This window comes from Homo sapiens, chromosome 5 (assembly GCF_000001405.40).
Source record: "Homo sapiens chromosome 5, GRCh38.p14 Primary Assembly".
NCBI lineage: Eukaryota > Metazoa > Chordata > Mammalia > Primates > Hominidae > Homo > Homo sapiens.
The window spans coordinates 171,895,430-171,912,618 of record NC_000005.10 but is presented as its reverse complement, the minus strand read 5'-3'; the positions used below and the strand labels follow the sequence as shown (position 1 = coordinate 171,912,618).

The 17,189-nt window shown below is 38.7% G+C and overlaps 1 protein-coding gene across 13 annotated transcripts in view; it reads left to right on the top strand.

Annotated features, from left to right (window-relative positions):
• The window catches only part of FBXW11 (F-box and WD repeat domain containing 11), a 145,090-nt gene that overhangs the window by 94,020 nt on the left and 33,881 nt on the right, over window positions 1-17,189 (top strand). For 12 of the 13 annotated variants that reach the window (NM_001378980.1, NM_033645.3, NM_033644.3 and 9 more), the window contains 3 exons: window positions 1,822-2,047; window positions 12,519-12,705; window positions 13,525-13,615. In NM_001378980.1, the coding sequence (NP_001365909.1) occupies window positions 1,822-2,047; window positions 12,519-12,705; window positions 13,525-13,615 (504 nt within the window). The remainder of the gene's footprint in view (window positions 1-1,821; window positions 2,048-12,518; window positions 12,706-13,524; window positions 13,616-17,189) is intronic. The other variant, NM_001378975.1, reaches the window with a different exon arrangement.

Below are 17,189 nucleotides of genomic sequence, written 5' to 3'. Positions count from 1 at the left end.
TTACTTTATATGCTAGTTTTAGTGGCTTACATTATAGCTCTTAATGGTGATGAGTTAGAATTTGTTTTAAATAGTTGCCTGTAATTGGGCAGTTATTTCTAACTTTTCCTTGTTATATTGTGGTGGACATTCTTATGCTTAAAGCAACTTAGATGCCCCTTATTCTTGCCAATATTCATCACAGCAAAGACTTTTCATCTCTGTTTTGAACTCTTATTTTTTGGATCTGTTAAGACTCAAATGTCTTAGTAAAAGCAAAATTTCAAAATCCTTGTTCAATGCTTCCCCCTGGTGGTACCTGGTGTCAGTGAGCTTTTCCTCACCCAAGATACAAGGGAAGAAACATTCCTCGACAGTGGGGCGCTAGGATAAATTGAGTGGAAGATAGATGCCTTCCCATCTCATACCTCTAAATATGGACATAAGAACTTCAGACAAGATTTTGTGTGAAGGAAAACTGAAGACTCCTTTGGATATTTATAAAGGATGTTTTCTCTGGGATGGATTTAGTCCACTTTAAGTTAGGGGACATACTGATAGTGAAAGCTCTTGGTTCATTCCATGTAAGACTCCTGAGATAAGTTCCTAACGGAATTAATAGGTATTTGTAATTCAGCTCTTCAGTTCTTAGAATTATCTTTTGTGTTATTTTTTCTGGTATTATGTATGAGGAGGCTGTCAGAATAGTGGTCAATAGATAGCTTGACAAATGTTTGACAAAAGTATTGAGGTTATTTTGTTTTTAGACAGGGAGGTTACTGCACTTCATAGTAGTTGTGGTTTGAGTCTAGTGATTGAGATTATTTTTAATGTTACTGTCCAGATGCAGTGTATGTAGTTTCAGTTTTAAAAAATATGTACTGATTTTATGTAAGGACTTGTAGGAAGATTTGATGAGAAATGCATTGTTAGTATAAGAGTCTGTGAGTTGTCCATAAACCACCTACGTAAGATGCAGAGCTTTTCAGGTATACATGGTTTATTTACCTTGGGTCACTTTCTGAGAAGGTAATCAAAAGAAGGATGGGAAAGTCTAAACCGTTCTGCCAGATTAGTAGCCCTGGGAAAGTATGGAGGAGATTGAAACTGTTGGGTAAAATGAAGCTTTTTGGATTGAATTGCTTTCAGGTTTCAACACAACACAGCTTATCTTTGTTATATAGACCTGTGGTTCTCAACATGTGGTCCCTAAAGTGTAGTCTCTGGACGGGTGGCATCAGCATTGCTGGGAAACTTGTTAGAAATAGAAATTCATGGGCTCCACTCCAGACTAATAAAACCGAAACCTCTAGGGTGGGACCCAGCAATCTGTGTGTTTAACAATCCCTCCTGTTATTCTGATGCTAGCTCAAGTTTGAGAACCATTAGCATAAATGTATGTAGCATTAACTTTGAACTTTGAGGAAGTAAAACAAACTGTTAATAATCAGTTGCCACTTTGCCAAGTTGAGCAGTTTCTCTAAGATGGTTATCTCCAGCATTAGCTATCTTTGGAGATGATAATTCATATATATCCCGTGTATAGAGATACCCAGTATATACCTTTGGAGCATCATTTTGTAGTAAGCATTGGAAAATGATAATTTAAGGTGCCTTTTAGAAATAGCTACAATTTTGGCATTTCCTGTAGTGACTAATTTGAGGACACAGACCCTGAATACATTTTTAATTCCTGAATGAATTAGTAAAGGAATGAGTTTGGCTTTAGGGTAAAAGTGGCATTTTAAGATTAAATACACAGGGTGAAAAATATTTCTAATGAAATATTAATTAGGTTTCTTTCCTTGTTAAACTAATTTTTTTTTTGTTTTTCTAAAATAGATAAGTAATGGAACATCATCTGTGATCGTCTCCAGAAAGAGGCCATCAGAAGGAAACTATCAAAAAGAAAAAGACTTGTGTATTAAATATTTTGACCAGTGGTCTGAATCAGATCAAGTGGAATTTGTGGAACATCTTATTTCACGAATGTGTCATTATCAGCATGGACATATTAACTCTTACCTGAAGCCCATGTTGCAGCGGGACTTTATTACCGCTTTACCAGGTAACTGTACTTGTCTTTTCAAAAGCTGAGCAGTTGAAGAATGCCCGGCCCAAGGACCTAGGTGGATATTTATGAAATGATTGAATGAGTACTGTGTGAGGCAGCATTTCTTTGGGACGCATACTTTAATATATGGAACTCGAGGAATTATAATTTAGTATCTATCTAGGAAATATAGGCAGTATCTTTAATAATGTTCATTCCTGGCCAGGCGCAGTAGCTTAACAGCTGTAATCCCAGCACTTTGGGAGGCTAAGGCAGGTGGATCACTTGAGGTCAGAAGTTTGATACCAGCCTGGCCAACATGGTGAAACCCTGTCTTTACTAAAAGTACAAAAATTAGCCGGGGGTGGTGGCAGATGTCTGTAATCCCAGCTACTCAGGAGGGTGAGGTGGGAGGATAGCTTGAACCCAGGAGGTGGAGGTTGCAGTGAGCCGAGATCATACCACTGCACTCCAGCCTGGGTAACAAGAGCGAGACTCTGTCTCAAAAAAAAAAAAAAAAAAAAAGTGTTCATTATTGGTCATAACTGTTGCTTCATTTGGTCTGTTGAATGAGTTAATGATATGCTTTTTATTTTGATGTAGTTTAGAGTCTGCACTTTGCCTTTGTATGTAATTTTAAAAAAACTGGTACTCTTTTCCCTTCAAACATAGTTTGTATGTTTGGGAAGTGTCCCAAAAGTTTAGGGCATTCATTTGTATCTGAAGTGGCACTTAAGGAATGGCAAAAATACATTGGGAAAACTGGTAGCATGTCTTTATTATATTTCTCAAAAGCTGTTTCTGCATCCTCTCCCTCACTACTGTCTTCCCATATATGTCTCATACACACATAGGTGTGTACATGCACGCGCGCACGTGCACACACACACACACACACACATCTGGTTAAATTTACTTTGATTTTTAAAAGTAGACTTTATATTTTTAGAGCAGTTTGAGGTTCAGATCAAAATTGAAGGGAAAATGCAGAGAATTCCCATATTCACATAACCCGTTCCCTCAGCCTGCCCCACTATCAGCATTGCACAGCAGAGCAGTACATTTGTTACAATTCATGAACCTAAGCTGACACATCATTATTACCCCAAATTCATAGGTTACATTAGGGTTTACTCTTGCTGTTATTCATTTTGTGGGTTTGGTCAAATGTCTAATGACATATATCTGCCTTAAGAGTCTCCTACAGAATGGTTTCACTGTGCTCCACCTATTTATTTCCCTTTGATTTTTAAAAAATAATTTAAAATTTGCTGTGTTCTGTACCACCTTTTTGTTTTTCTCAACGAGGTGGCATCTTGCTGTGTGGGCCAGGCTGGCCTTGAGCTCCTGGGCTCAAGTGATACTCCTACCTCAGCCTCCTGAGTAGCTGGTACTACAGGCATGCACCACTGTGCTGAACTCCCCTTTGAATATGATTAATCATGAATTTTTTTCTGTTTCTATATTGTTTTTTAAAAAATTCTCAATTTAAATTTGGCTAGGTAAGATATAGAGATTTCACTCCTATAGAGAATGCTGGCCAGAATGTTTTCCTCTGATGTGGCCAGTGTAGTGTGTGGTTAAAATTGCCATGTCAAAATAAGCCTAGAAGTAGCCAGGGATGAGCCAGTACCATTACCACAACCCTAGCCCTTGTCAGAGCTACAGGATAGCTTCTTAAAGAGTAGCTCCTCCCTTAGCCTATCTGTGATTTATAGAACATCAGGACTCCGTGTTCTAAGTACTTCCACAGCAAACAAGACTCATGTTCTAAGTACTTCCACAGCAAACAAGACCCAGGCTCAGGCCTCAGGCCTGAAACCTGAGGCTGCAAATTGACAAACCAGCTTCTGATTTCTAATCTCTCTTCCAAAACGTGTAAGTTTACCTTCTACAATGGGAGTTTTAAGGATATTTGAGAGTTAGCTTAGAAAAATTTGACACTGCCGTTCTTTTTATGCTGAAATCTAGCATGACTTGCTCATTTCTTCCATTAGAATCTCTAGGAAAGCAAAACGTAAATCCTCTCTTTCTAGAATCATACTATTTAATTGCTGAAGGGGATCTTAGCCATCACTTAGTCCTGTTTTTCATTGTGTAGATTAGGAAGCCAAGGAGAAGTTAATTGGGTGAGATGCCCAGAATCACACATCTTGATTATAGTGGTGGTGATGTGAATGATGGTAGGGGTTGGTTCAAAAATTAGTACAACGGCTAAGGAAAATTCCTTAAATTGGCCCCAAGTACTGAATGTAAGGATTACAACTCAGTTCAATAATTCTCACTTTTAATTATGAGGGAGGGATCCAGGGAGGGGGAGATGGAGACATGCTTTTGATTGCGTGAGAGAGAATTACAGGTGAATGGAAGTAAGATGAGGCATGTACATATGATGCAGCTTCTCTGTATGTGCAGAACTCAAACCCAGAAACCTATAGAATCAGACTGCATCTCACACCAAGAAAAGACAGAGTCTTTTTTTAAGTTGGTGATTGTATTTGTCCCTCATAAGTGATTTTAACTGATGAGAGGATGCCTTCATTTTTCTCAAGCAATTCAATTTATTGTTTGTTTTCCACCGTTTTGGTTTTATTTTCTTCCCTGTAATTTGCTTCTCAAACGTTTTAGAGGGCCAGGGAACTCACCTTGTATTTGCAGAGTAGCCACAAGGTGGCACTGTTGAAGTTCTCTTGATTTTTCAGAGTATAGTTCAGAGGCAACCCCATCTCTTAGGGAGTATACAGCCTTGGAGAAGAAGCAGAACAGATGAACATGTGTTATGTATATAAATATGGTTAGTATAATTGCATACAATTCAGTTTTCATTACAGCGAATGTTAAGGCATTGTCCATATCTCTGTTAAAGTGGAATTTTGTGGTATTGAATATTACATGAAATGAATGGACCATTGGCTGGGACATGGAAATACTTTAGTTAAAATGCTATTTGTTTTAACAGGACTTGATCTGAACATATATACATATGTCAGTGTATATCATACATATGAATCTAATAGCTGAGGACGAGCTGGCCAAGTTGATTGTGTTAGTTAGTATCTAGTAGACCTAGATTAAACATGGCATTAGTTCCTTAACACAGACTCTGCTTTAAGAGCATCACAGGAGAAACAGGTCTGTGTCCATGTTCATACTTAGATTTAATAATGTGTGGAGCAACTTATGAATCATTATACTAGTTTGGTGTTTCATTTTTACTGTACATCATCTTGAGTTTGAGGTTTTTACACTATTGAAATTGACAGTCAACTTACGACTTCATTTGATTGTGAAAACCATTAATTCTGTAAAAATTATAATTATAGCTTTTAAATGCTTGCTGTGAATATCATACCTGTCAGTATAGGGAAAATGGAAAATGTTTGTGGTCTCTGGCTCCTTTTGGCTCAGTGGAAAAAGTGATAATTATGATATGCCTTTCTAAAAATCATAGTAAATGTTTAGTCTGCAATGTCAATTTCTGCAGGCTGAGTTTGCGGTTTGTAAGAACTGTTGTTAATGGGAAAATTCATACCATGTAAAGTAGGGACAGATTGTACTTCAAAAAGGATGATAAGCATTGGTGATCGGTTTGTTGAGGTGTCTAAGCAATTAAGAGTTTTGAAACACTTGGCTGTCTGGCCCTGGTTTATTCAATTGTCTTATCCCCAAGAAAGGATGATAAGCCATTATGGACCATAAATGTGACAGAGATTAGATTAAAAGTCCCAGGAGATGTGGAAGAAACAGAGCGTAGATAAGGCTTTAGGATGGGTACACGGCCAGAGCAGCGTGACAGGAAAAAGCATGGGTGCTGGAGTCACACAGGCCCTTGGTTTGAATCCTAGCCCTTACACTTTACAGCTGTGTGGTCCCACTTTCTGGAGCCTCAGTTTCCTCCTCTGTGTGGGAATAATAGTAATACTTTATGGGTATTGTGTGAGGATTAATGATAATATGTTATAATATGCCTGGCATCTATTGGGTACTCTGAGGATGGCAGCTTAAGAAAAAGCCCAGAGAGGCAGGAAACACCTGCTTCTCCAGAGGTAGTAAGATTTATTGGTAGGAAATTTTAATTATTCACCCACTGATTCCCGAATTGATTCATTCTGACATCATATAGGTGTCTGTCACTTTGTTGTTTTGTTTCCTGGGTGTTTTATGGAAAAAAGATGTTAGACTTTGTGACCTGAGCTTCTTTTCACTTCATTTCTGTCTGAAACCTTAGGTTGGTGTTTTCCAAGTGAAAGGCATCCGTTGAGGGACTGTTGCTGTTAGCAATTGCATTGTTTTCTTTTAAAACGTTTAGAACTTCAGATTTTACAACTAGATTTGTGACTAGGGAGGGGGAAGGGATAACACGGGTGGGTGGGAAAGGAAGTTTCTTTGCAGCTGCTCTTTGAAATGCATTTCTAAAATAATAAAAGTTTCTGTAATTGTATGATCTAAGCAGCTGTGTTAAAACTGGTTGTAGTCAAGGGCATTTAATTGACATTTGAGTTTTGATACAGTGTTATTTACATATTGAGCTTTGAAATTTGTGCCTTTTAATTGTTTTAATTTATTATTGAAGTTTTTCCAGACTTTCATCTGGTTCCTGTAATTAACAACAGCAGCATGTCTTCAGCACTGTGTGCGAAGTATTATGGCCTCAATTTTCTGAGGCTGTAATGTGTCCTCTTGTTGCCTTAGGAAGAGGGGGTGGTGGTGAGAGATGGGGGAGTCTCAGCATGATAGAGTAATGAGAGCCAGACATAGGTACTTCAGAAAATGCTTAGTTTTAACACCTCAAAGCACTTTTTAGCCCAGGCAAATGGACCACCTTATTCAGTAACCTCTTTGTCCTGAATAGGCTTGAAACCAGAAAGTTACATGCTCTGCATGGCTCCTGAGGGTGGCCACTCTAAGGTACCTGAATAGAGATTGTGTGATTCCTGTTCTTCTCAAAACATTTAAGGGGCCATGAGACTTATACCAAGAAAATAAAGGGGGGGGGGTTAGCTTTTTGCTGGAGGAGATGCGTAGTATTTTTTCTGCAGAAGGTAACAAGAAGAATATTGTGTATCGGCCTTGTCCATTGATATCTGCTGAGAGGATTTGGGGGAGAGTAGAACAAAGACTGATATTTCTTGAGTGAACTTCTTATTTACCTAGCTCTTTACGTATGCTGTTTTTTAAACTTTCGCAGCAAGACTGGGAGGTTCCCTCTATGTAAAATGAGGGTATGTAGAGTACCTATCTCAGAAGGTTATTGTGAAGATTATATGATGTAATTTATTTCAGACATTTAATATCATTCTGATATTATGGAAGACTGAGATCCTAAAAGGAAAACTGATCTGCTTAAGGTCACACAACTAGCAGTTGACAGAACTGAGATGCAACCTAGTTTTTCTGACTTTCAGGCAGTGTGTTTTTCACAAGACTAAAACATGCTGCCTCATAGAAGGAGGAAATGCATTTAAAGTATCAGACAAAGGAAATAGGTCAAATCTCATAGATATCACTGAGATGTTGCTTAATTGGACTGATGGCATTTGAAAGAGGAAGAAATAAGTATTAGTAAGGGATTTATTTCTGTAAAAACTCATGATAGCCTAGTTGTGAGCAATTGATGGGGGAATCAAAGAGGACTAAAAGGGATATCATTGCTATAAACCAATAGTTCCTAATACTTCAGCATTATCTAGTGGCACTTCTTAAAAATACAGATTCCTGGCTGGGCACGGTGGCTCACACCTGTAATCCCAGCACTTTGGGAGGCCGAGTTGGGTGGATCATGAGGTCAAGAGATCAAGACCATCCTGGCCAACATGGTGAAACCCCATCTGTACTAAAAATACAAAAATTACCTGGGCATGGTGGTGTGCGCCTGTAGTCCCAGCTACTCGGGAGGCTGAGGCAGGAGAATCGCTTGAACCCAGGAGGTGGAGGTTGCAGTGAGCTGAGATCCCACCACTGCACTCCATACTGGCGACAGAGTGAGAATCTGTTTCCAAAAACAACAACAACAACAAAAAAACCACACCCAGATTCCTGGGCCTTACCGTCTAGAGATTCTGATTTTGTAGGTCAGGAGAAGATTGGGGGGATCTTTTCTTTTTGCTGTTGTTTTGAAAATCAGTAACCCTGAGTTGAGTCAGATACAACCACACAGGCTTATAGACCACCCAGATAGGTTGAAGGTTTGGGTGCTGCTTTCCCGTCACAGATGATGGGGATGTTGCAGCCTTTGAGGTTTGAAAAGGCGAGTATCTAATGCATTCTTTTTATTTTTTATTTTTTTTAAAAAAAGACAGAGTCTTGCACTGTAACCCAGGCTAGAGTGCAGTGGCATGATCTCCACTTACTGCAACCGCCACCTCCTAGGTTCAAGTGGTTCTCGCGCGCCTCATCCTGCCAAGTAGCTGGGATTACAGGCGTGTGCCACCATGGCTAATTTTTGTATATTTAGTAGAGATGGAGTTTTGCCATGCTGTCCAGGCTGGTCTCAAACTCCTGGACTCAAGCGATCTGCCCATCTTGGCCTCCCAAAGTTCTAGGATTACAGGTGTGAGCCACCATGCAGCCCCTAATGCATCCTTGTCTTGCCATTTGTTTCACCTTTCAGAGAGCAGAGGGTTCTAGAGAGGAATTAGTTTGAGATGTGTTTATAACCAGTTAGGAGGATTTGGGTTAATGATGTGAAGTTTACATTACTTTAAAAGTGGCTATGTTCTCAGCCTGGGCAACATAGTGAGATCCTGTCTCTACTAAAATTTTTTTTAAAAAAAATTAGCCTGGCATGGTAGTGCATACTTGTAGTCTCAGCTACTAGGGAGGCTGAGGCAGGAGGATCACTTGATTCTGGAAGGTCAAGGCTGTAGTGAGCCATGATCATGTCACTGTACTCCAGCCTGGGCAACAGAGTGAGATGCTGTAATTAGCTATGTTCTAATATTAAGTGTAGAAATCAGAAAAGGAAGATAGATAAGTACCCCAGCGTTAGAAAGATTGAAAGAGCTAAGTCTGTTAGTCCACGGCTAGAGACTGAACAAAAATGTGATAAAAGAAGGCTGACGGATTCTGCAGTTTGAAATTCTGATGAATAATTTGTCAATCCTAGTGATGGAGAGGCACAAGCAGAACCCCACGTGATTATCCTTGGATTTCCCTGATTTTAAGTAAACATAGAAGATGGAAGAAAGGCAGCCAGGCGCAGTGGCTCACGCCTGTAATCCCAGCACTTTCAAGACCAAGGCAGGAGGATTGCTTGAGCCCAGGAGTTGGAGACCACCCCGGGCAATATAGTGAGACCTCATCTCTACAAATGATAAAAAAAAATTAGCTGGGTGTGGAGGCATGTGCCTGTAGTCCTAGTTACTTGGGAGGTTGAGGTGGGAGGATTGCTTGAACCCAGGAGTTTGAGGTGGCAGTGAGCCATGATTGTGCCACTGTACTCCAACTTGGGTGATAGAGTGAGTCCCTGTGAAACCTTTGAGAATGGTACCAAGAAGACCAAACTCCAAATAATGTTAAATTGTCCAAAATGTTGAAGTAAATTGAAAGAGTTGAAAACAAAATAATTAACTATTTGGAGCCAGATTATAAAGGATGAAGGGATAGTGTGCTTAGAATAGATAGTATAGTGATAATAGAAAGAAACAACATATTTTCACTCCCATTAACCTAATCCCACCATCCCCCCAACCCAAGAATAATGGCTTTAAAACAAAGGTTAGCAAAGTTGTGTTTGAGAAAGATGTGAAGATATTTAGCAATCACATAGCTCCTATAGACAAGTAGGCCTAAATACATTGTATGCCTGGATAGTGGCAAAACCTGTGGTTGTGATTTTTCAAATTGTAGAACATTGTGAAGCAATTGAAAATCAGTATGCAGAACTATTGGGTACAATTGTGCCCTGTACAGCTTGTACAGTTGCACATGGTAGTCTTGCATGATAGCACCAGAGATGATTGATGAGCAGACTTCCTGGTTTTAAGAACTGGAGAAGGTGTTTTTGGGGGATTTAGCTATTAAATTTGATGTTGTGCTTTAGCAGAATTCTTAGATGAGTTTCAAAGGCTAATCAGCCTCTGAAAAGATTGTGTATGGTTGTGTAAACCTAGAAGGATGTATACAGAATGTGAAAAGTGGTTCCCTTCTCTGGGAAATGGGGTTTAGGGATTTAAAAATTTTTGCTCATCTACACTTTATAAATTTTCTATAATGAACATGAACTAGATATGTTTAAAAGGGTTACCAAGCAGCTAGTGTCAACATGTAAGTGAAAAATTGCAATACAACTTTATGTAGTAAACCCCAGCACGGGAACATGAAAGCAGCCATACCCTCCTCACCTTATTTCCTTTTTGGATAAAGTTACCAGGCTAGTAGGTAGGTCTGAAGAATGATGTAAATAGATGGTAATATCATCATCTGCTGATTTTTCCAAATACCTCCGAGGACAGAATAGAGAGATATGGACTGGGCAATGGCACATATAGATGACTACAGACCGGATGTCGCAGTGTGGGTGCCCTGGGCATATTGATGCGGCATCAGTGCTAGCTTGGAGGGAAATATTATAATAATAGGTACTAATAGCTAGTGTCATGGGTGCTGTCCTTGGTTCTGACCCGTTTAACGTGTTTGCCAACATGGTTTAACATGTTTGCCTTAGTACTTTAGCCCATCATGCAGGTCTGGTGTGGAATACCCACTCTTCTGGGTGTGACAAAAATCAGAATTCTAGAGACTGAAATGGATGGGTCAGACAAAGCTTTGAAGGTGAATTATAGTAAGGATAAATATAAACCGCACAAAGCTGCCCCCCACCTTTCCAACTAGCTGTGCAAATAGAGCATTCGGGGAAATTGTTTCAATAGATGTTTTTGGGGGAGAGGCCTGGGATTTTATTCTAACTTACTGCCATCTTAGGCGTCTTCTGTGATATGACTATCAGATGAAGGCAGTGCAGCCTTTGACCACATTAACTGTAAATGACATGCAGGAAAGGACAGTGGTCCCAGTGTAGTCTTTATTCTTAGACCATAGCTTGGGTCTTTGATCTAGTCCAGAGTAAGAGAATTTTAGTATATGAAGGACCTGGAAATTATAACCAATGGTATAATAATAGTCATTCTTAGAATTGAAGGAACTTTAGTTTGTAAAGCATTTTTCATGCATCATCTCATTTTGATATTTTCAGAATCAAGTAGAGATTATCGTAATCTTATACAGATGAGGAAACTGACTCTGAAAGTTTAATAATTTACCTACATCTGGCCTTTCAACAACCAAGTTTAGTGCTATTATACTACTTCTAATTATTTTGAGAAAAGAGAACAGATATTAACCTTGTAGAGTGCTTGTCTATAAAATGTTTTCATAAAACTGTTGAATTTGATTCTGACAGACAGTGTAAGAAAGGATAGTTGTTACTGGTGATTACCATTTTGTATGTTAGGGCACAAAAATTCAAGGCACAGGGATGTTTCAGTGTTTGTTTCATGTCATAGAACTAGTAAGTGGTGAACCTGGGACTTGAAATGGGAATTTTCTGATGATAAGTTCTGTGTTCTCGTCCCTACACAGAATAAGCTTGGGGAGAAGCTTTATTTCTTGCAACTGTAGAAGACATACTTACCGCCACAGGATGGGAGTTTACAGGTGGCAACAGTGGTGGCCATGTTGATCATCTTCCCATTGTGAATGTCAGGCAGAGGCTGAAAGTGGTTTTCTTTGAGAGTATCCTTGTATCGTGGGAGGTTGAAGCCAATGACCTCTAAGATTCTAGGATTTGTAGACATGGGGCTATTGCTTTTGAGGATTGTCCCATCTGTTTAGGAACAGAAAATGGATACTCACGAAAGGGAGATGAAAAGATTGACAAAAATACATTTAAGCACAATCGACTTTAATTCTTGGATTGCCATTTAACTTTTCATAAGTTTTTCAAGATGAGTCGGTGTTTTGCCTTTTTTGTCTTCTGATCTCCCAGGGATTCACACCGGGTATGGATTAATGGGGATATGATTTGTTATGAGAGACAGTGAGTAAGATGGGAATGAACACAAACTTTGAAGCAAGAAATCCGAGTTCCAGTAGTAAAGCCAAGGGAGTGTAAAATCTTGAGTTCTTTACCTTTCTGTGCTTCATCTGTCAAACTTGGGGCGTCATTGCCCTATAGGAGTGCTGTGAGAGTTATATAAAAGAAAATGAAAAGTCTTATCTTAATATTTGACAAATAACAGAACTGTCCAAGGTCAGCTTTTACACACAGAGAAGAGTTGCTATCAATTGTTTTATCGTAAAAAATCAGAACCAAAAAGAAGTGTATATGTTTATGTACTCATGGATTTGAGTATCTGTAGAACTTTTGATATGACTAAAATATTTTACTTGGTTCAGGATTTCTTTATTCCTCTTATCTTTAAGGAAATGATGGCTGGTACCTTTCTATCTCTCTTCCCGTTCCTTCATTCCCTTTTCTGTTTTGTAGAGCAAGGCTTAGATCACATAGCAGAAAACATTCTTTCGTACCTGGATGCCAGGTCTCTGTGTGCAGCAGAGCTGGTATGTAAAGAATGGCAGCGAGTGATCTCAGAAGGAATGCTTTGGAAGAAGCTGATTGAACGAATGGTACGCACTGATCCCCTATGGAAAGGACTTTCAGAAAGAAGAGGGTGGTAAGTACTTGGGTTGCTTGTTCCCTTGAAAAAATTTTATTGACATAGAGTCAGCTTGATTACTCAAAAATGCAATTATACTTGCAAATGTGCTGGCCTATTTTTAAAAAGGGGGGAAAATGAGTGGTCAAAAGTTGGAAGAAAAAGTTAAAGCTGTTAAAATTTCTCCCTCTGAAATGTGTATTTCCTTTATGAACTGTATTATATAGTTTGATGGGATTTGGCGTTTCAAAGCTATGTATTTATGTTTTTTCCTTCACATTTTGCTTAGTTGATGATACCATTACCAAAATATAGATATGACAAAAATATGAGAAAGTCAGATAGTGCCATTTTGCTGTTTGTTATTACTGCTGGTTGAGGAAGTAATAACAGTGATAGGATTTTTCAGAGAAAACTCATAACTCTGATGCAGCTTTATAGCTAGCTGTATGCTGTATGGCCCAGTTAGCAAAGAGAGAGAGCTACAGACAGAGGTGCATATAGGGCTGTATTTTCCTTACGGGAGGAAGTTTGATGTGTACTAAGTTAGATTTTTCACAAAGCTACATTAGCGCTTTTTATTAAACTCTATGGAATGAAAGGCTAGATTGTTACATATTAGTACTCAGAAAACACGATCAGGATTTTGTTAGAGAGCTGTGAATTGAGCTAAACTTGTCTGTAACATGTAAATTTGTCAGAAATCCTGCTTTTGAACTGTTAAAACTCAATGCAAATTAAAAGACATGAAAGATATATCTTTGTCAGCACCATGTTTAGATAAAATTCACCCTTTTATGTGCAAAAATGTAACATCTGTTTGTTTTTATTTGCCAGGGATCAGTACCTGTTTAAAAACAGACCCACAGATGGCCCTCCAAATTCATTTTATAGGTCATTATACCCAAAGATTATCCAGGATATAGAGGTAACTTTATGATTTATCTGTTTTATGGGCTCTTTGTTTCTTGTTCTCAACTTTTTATGTTGCCTTAGAGTGTTCTTTTGGTCTAAAATCGTAGAACTAATAATTTTTTTTAAAAAGTTGAGCTTTTGGAGTAAATGTGTCATGTTGTATATAATCTGCAGCTATTCTGCAGAGAAAATAATGTCTTTTGCAAAGAATATCTAACTTTTCTAAAACATGAAATGCTTCTGCAAGGCTGCCGGTTAATTCAAACCTTAATCTAAAATCATCTTTTTATTCTAAGCTGATAAATTTTCCAAAATCCAAGGCCCCGTTTTTTTAAGTAAGCATTGTTTTACATTTTTGAGCCATCTCTAGAGAACTAGAGAAGGCACATTTCAAGTTTTCTCTGTACATTACTCATAGTTTTTCATAAACATGACTCAGATATCATTCTAAGCAATAGTTAAGTGGATTTTATAGGGCAAATTATGCTCCTGGACCATTTTGGATTTGAGCGTAACTTCACCAGACCAGTAAAACTCTGTAAACTTGATGAGAAACATTGGAGATGTTTGATATCGTTCATGTGTTCTAATTAGTTCAGTTTTACTATTTTAGCCTTTTTCCTTGAACCAGGAAAGACATGCACAGGCATTTCTCATTAACTCTTTCACATGTGTTCTTGGCAGGTCTTGGTTACTTCACTGTTTCCTCCTTGGCAGAAAACTTTAGCCTTTGCTAGGCAATGCAATATCACCCATAAAGTTATACTCAGTTTCCCAAATGTGAAGTAATCCTCTCCCCCAGGTGATAGACATAAAAGTTATTGTGCCAAAATTCATTAACGGAGAAACATGTGCTTTTTCAGACCCCACCACCCTTCCAGGCAGATGTGAATAATGGAATCATTCCATTAATGGTAAATCTGAATGTGACTGGAATATCATTATTTAAAGCCCAAACTGTCTTGAATATTCTGCTCTCTGAAATGATCTATAAAGTAACCCTTTAAGGAGGTTAAATAAAAACTTTCACTAGATAAATCATAAAGTTTAAGAATTAATTGACCATTGGCAGTTCCAAACTTAGAATAAGTTGCCCCTACAGTGCTAGTGGCTGAGACATGGTGTTAACTTTAATCTTAGGTTGATGTGTGTGTATTGTAGGGGAGATGGGGCTGTCTCTTACCCCAGGTAGTTGTACTAAGGCATTTCTTATGTACACATCTTATAAACTACATTACCCTCTGTTTTTTTTTTTCACTTGATGAGGGGCAACTATTTACAAAGTTATTTCCAGACTTCTTTGAATAATTTTATCAAAAAAATTCTTTGAAAAGAATGATGTTTAAAGTTAATTATGAACAAACAGGAACCTTGAAGAACTCTGATCAGGTTGAAGATGTGGCAACATAGATAGTTTGATTGAATCCTCATGACTGCTGTTAGAATTGACAATGTGAATTCAGTATTCTGTGGCATGACAGTATCTGACACCACCTGCCATCATCACTTCTTCAGGCTGAAATGATAGTTTAAAGTAGGAGAGGAGGCAGGTGTGAGGGGAAACAGCTCTGTGGGAAAACCCTGTGCGACACAGCCTCTACATCATGGTGGTCTACCCAGTGGTTCTTAAAGTGTGGTTTGGAAAAACCCACTGGTTGGCCACAAAAGTCTTCTCCAGATTTTTGTGGGCTAGACCTCTTGATATAAGGGATGATGTTTATACTTTGATATATGTGCTACTAGTAATAATCATAAAAGTAATGTACCACTAATAGCATTTACTTATGCCAGATACTTTGTTAACTACTTTATAATGCATTTTCTCTTTTAACATTTTGGACAAAACCTGAAAGGTAGGCCAAGTACTTATTTAAATTTGAGGAAACCTTAGAAGGTTAAAAAGGTTAAACAGTTTAGTCAGGATCACACAGCTAGTGGGTAATTGAGAGTCTGTGATCAACCATGTACCCTTCTACCCTTAATACGAGTTTTTAACAATAGACCACTGCTACCACCTCAAAATAGATTTTTTTTTACTCCCATTTTGAGAGTGTGTTTTATTCTGTCTGGAATAAAACAGAATATATAGAGTTTTATGTAGAGAGTTCTTCCAGTGATCCATGGATCAAATGAGAGCCTCTCACGGGCTTGGCTCTGTCCGTATGACTGGTATGAAATCCTCACAAGCAGACTATAATAATTACAAATACCCACTTCGAGTTTTTGCATATATCAAACCACGTTGGGTGATTTACATAGATGATTGTTTTTTATTCTTACAACAAGGTGCATGTTATTATCTTTATAATAAGGGGAAACTGAGACTAAAAGAAGTTTTAGGACTTGCTACATAGTTAAGTAGAAGAGATGGGATGGGCTTTTAACTGAGGTCTGTCTAGCTCTATCCAGGCTGAGAGTTGTTGTTTGTCATTTTCAGAGTGGAAAATTCAGGAAGTGAGGGAGAAAGAGGCATGTTTTATGCCTGCTGAATTTCAAGGTGGCCTTTGCCTCTTTCTCTAATTGTGTGAATACGCAGTGTCCTTGACTGTTCGTTGAAAAAAGGGTATGAGTTAAGATCTGATTAGTGGGCCCTGTTTTAGTCCAGTTATGGGAAAGTAGTAGGGTTTTAAGCACATTGCAGAAAGATAAATGACACTTGGAATGTCAAGTGGCTGTTTATGTCCCCCCTCCCTCCCCAGTTGCCTGTACATAGCTTCAGAGTCTCTTGTGTTGTTTCCCTTAGACTTTGCAAGGTTGCCAGTTCACAACACCTTTTTCTTTTTTTCCTTCTTCCTCCACCTCGACAGCTTGGCTTATGTGCCAGCTCCTGTAATCTGTACGTTCCCAGATTTGGCTCTGATGAGGAGAAAGGAAATGTTCATCTCTGAATCTGCGCTTCTACATTGACCCACCGAAAATTGGCTTAATTTTAAGGGAAAATAGAGAACCTGGCTTAGTGCAGCCAACTCCTGTTATTCAGGAAATGAGGATGTGAGAAATGGAGTCTGGGGAGAATAAATAAGTATTGTAAGCTTTCTGCAAAGGCTCATCTCGCCTGGGTGTTCTTGCCACACATAGAGAGGGTTTAGAGGGCCTCTGAATTGAGAAGGAATTCCTAGAAAACCTGAGGCTCGCTCCTAAAAGAAGCAGCCATATTCTCCTTTGCTGTCTAGAGTCTTAGTTGTTGCTGTTATTATTGTTGTTGTTACCATTAATGGTGGGCTGACTGCTGGATACTTTGCTACAAGTGATTTAATTTAATCCTCGAATTGTCAAAGCTGAGATTCTTACTTCAAAGCCCATGCTGCTTTCACTCTAGCGTGCCCCCAATTGTCTATTAACAGAGAGATAGGAGTTGTTATAACAGCCCTAGAGTTCTGGTATTCTGAACTTGGATTTTTCTCTTTTGCCATTTGAGTAGTGACAAACTCCTTCAAGTAATCTACCTTCTTCCTCTCTTCATTCATTGCATTAACGCCTCCGAAGTGCTCTTCTTGGACAGACACTGGGAAGATGATGGTGTGTTGTATCACACCTTTTAATAAGCCACATTTTATTCAGGGAAAGTGGGGAGCTTTTTTGTGGTT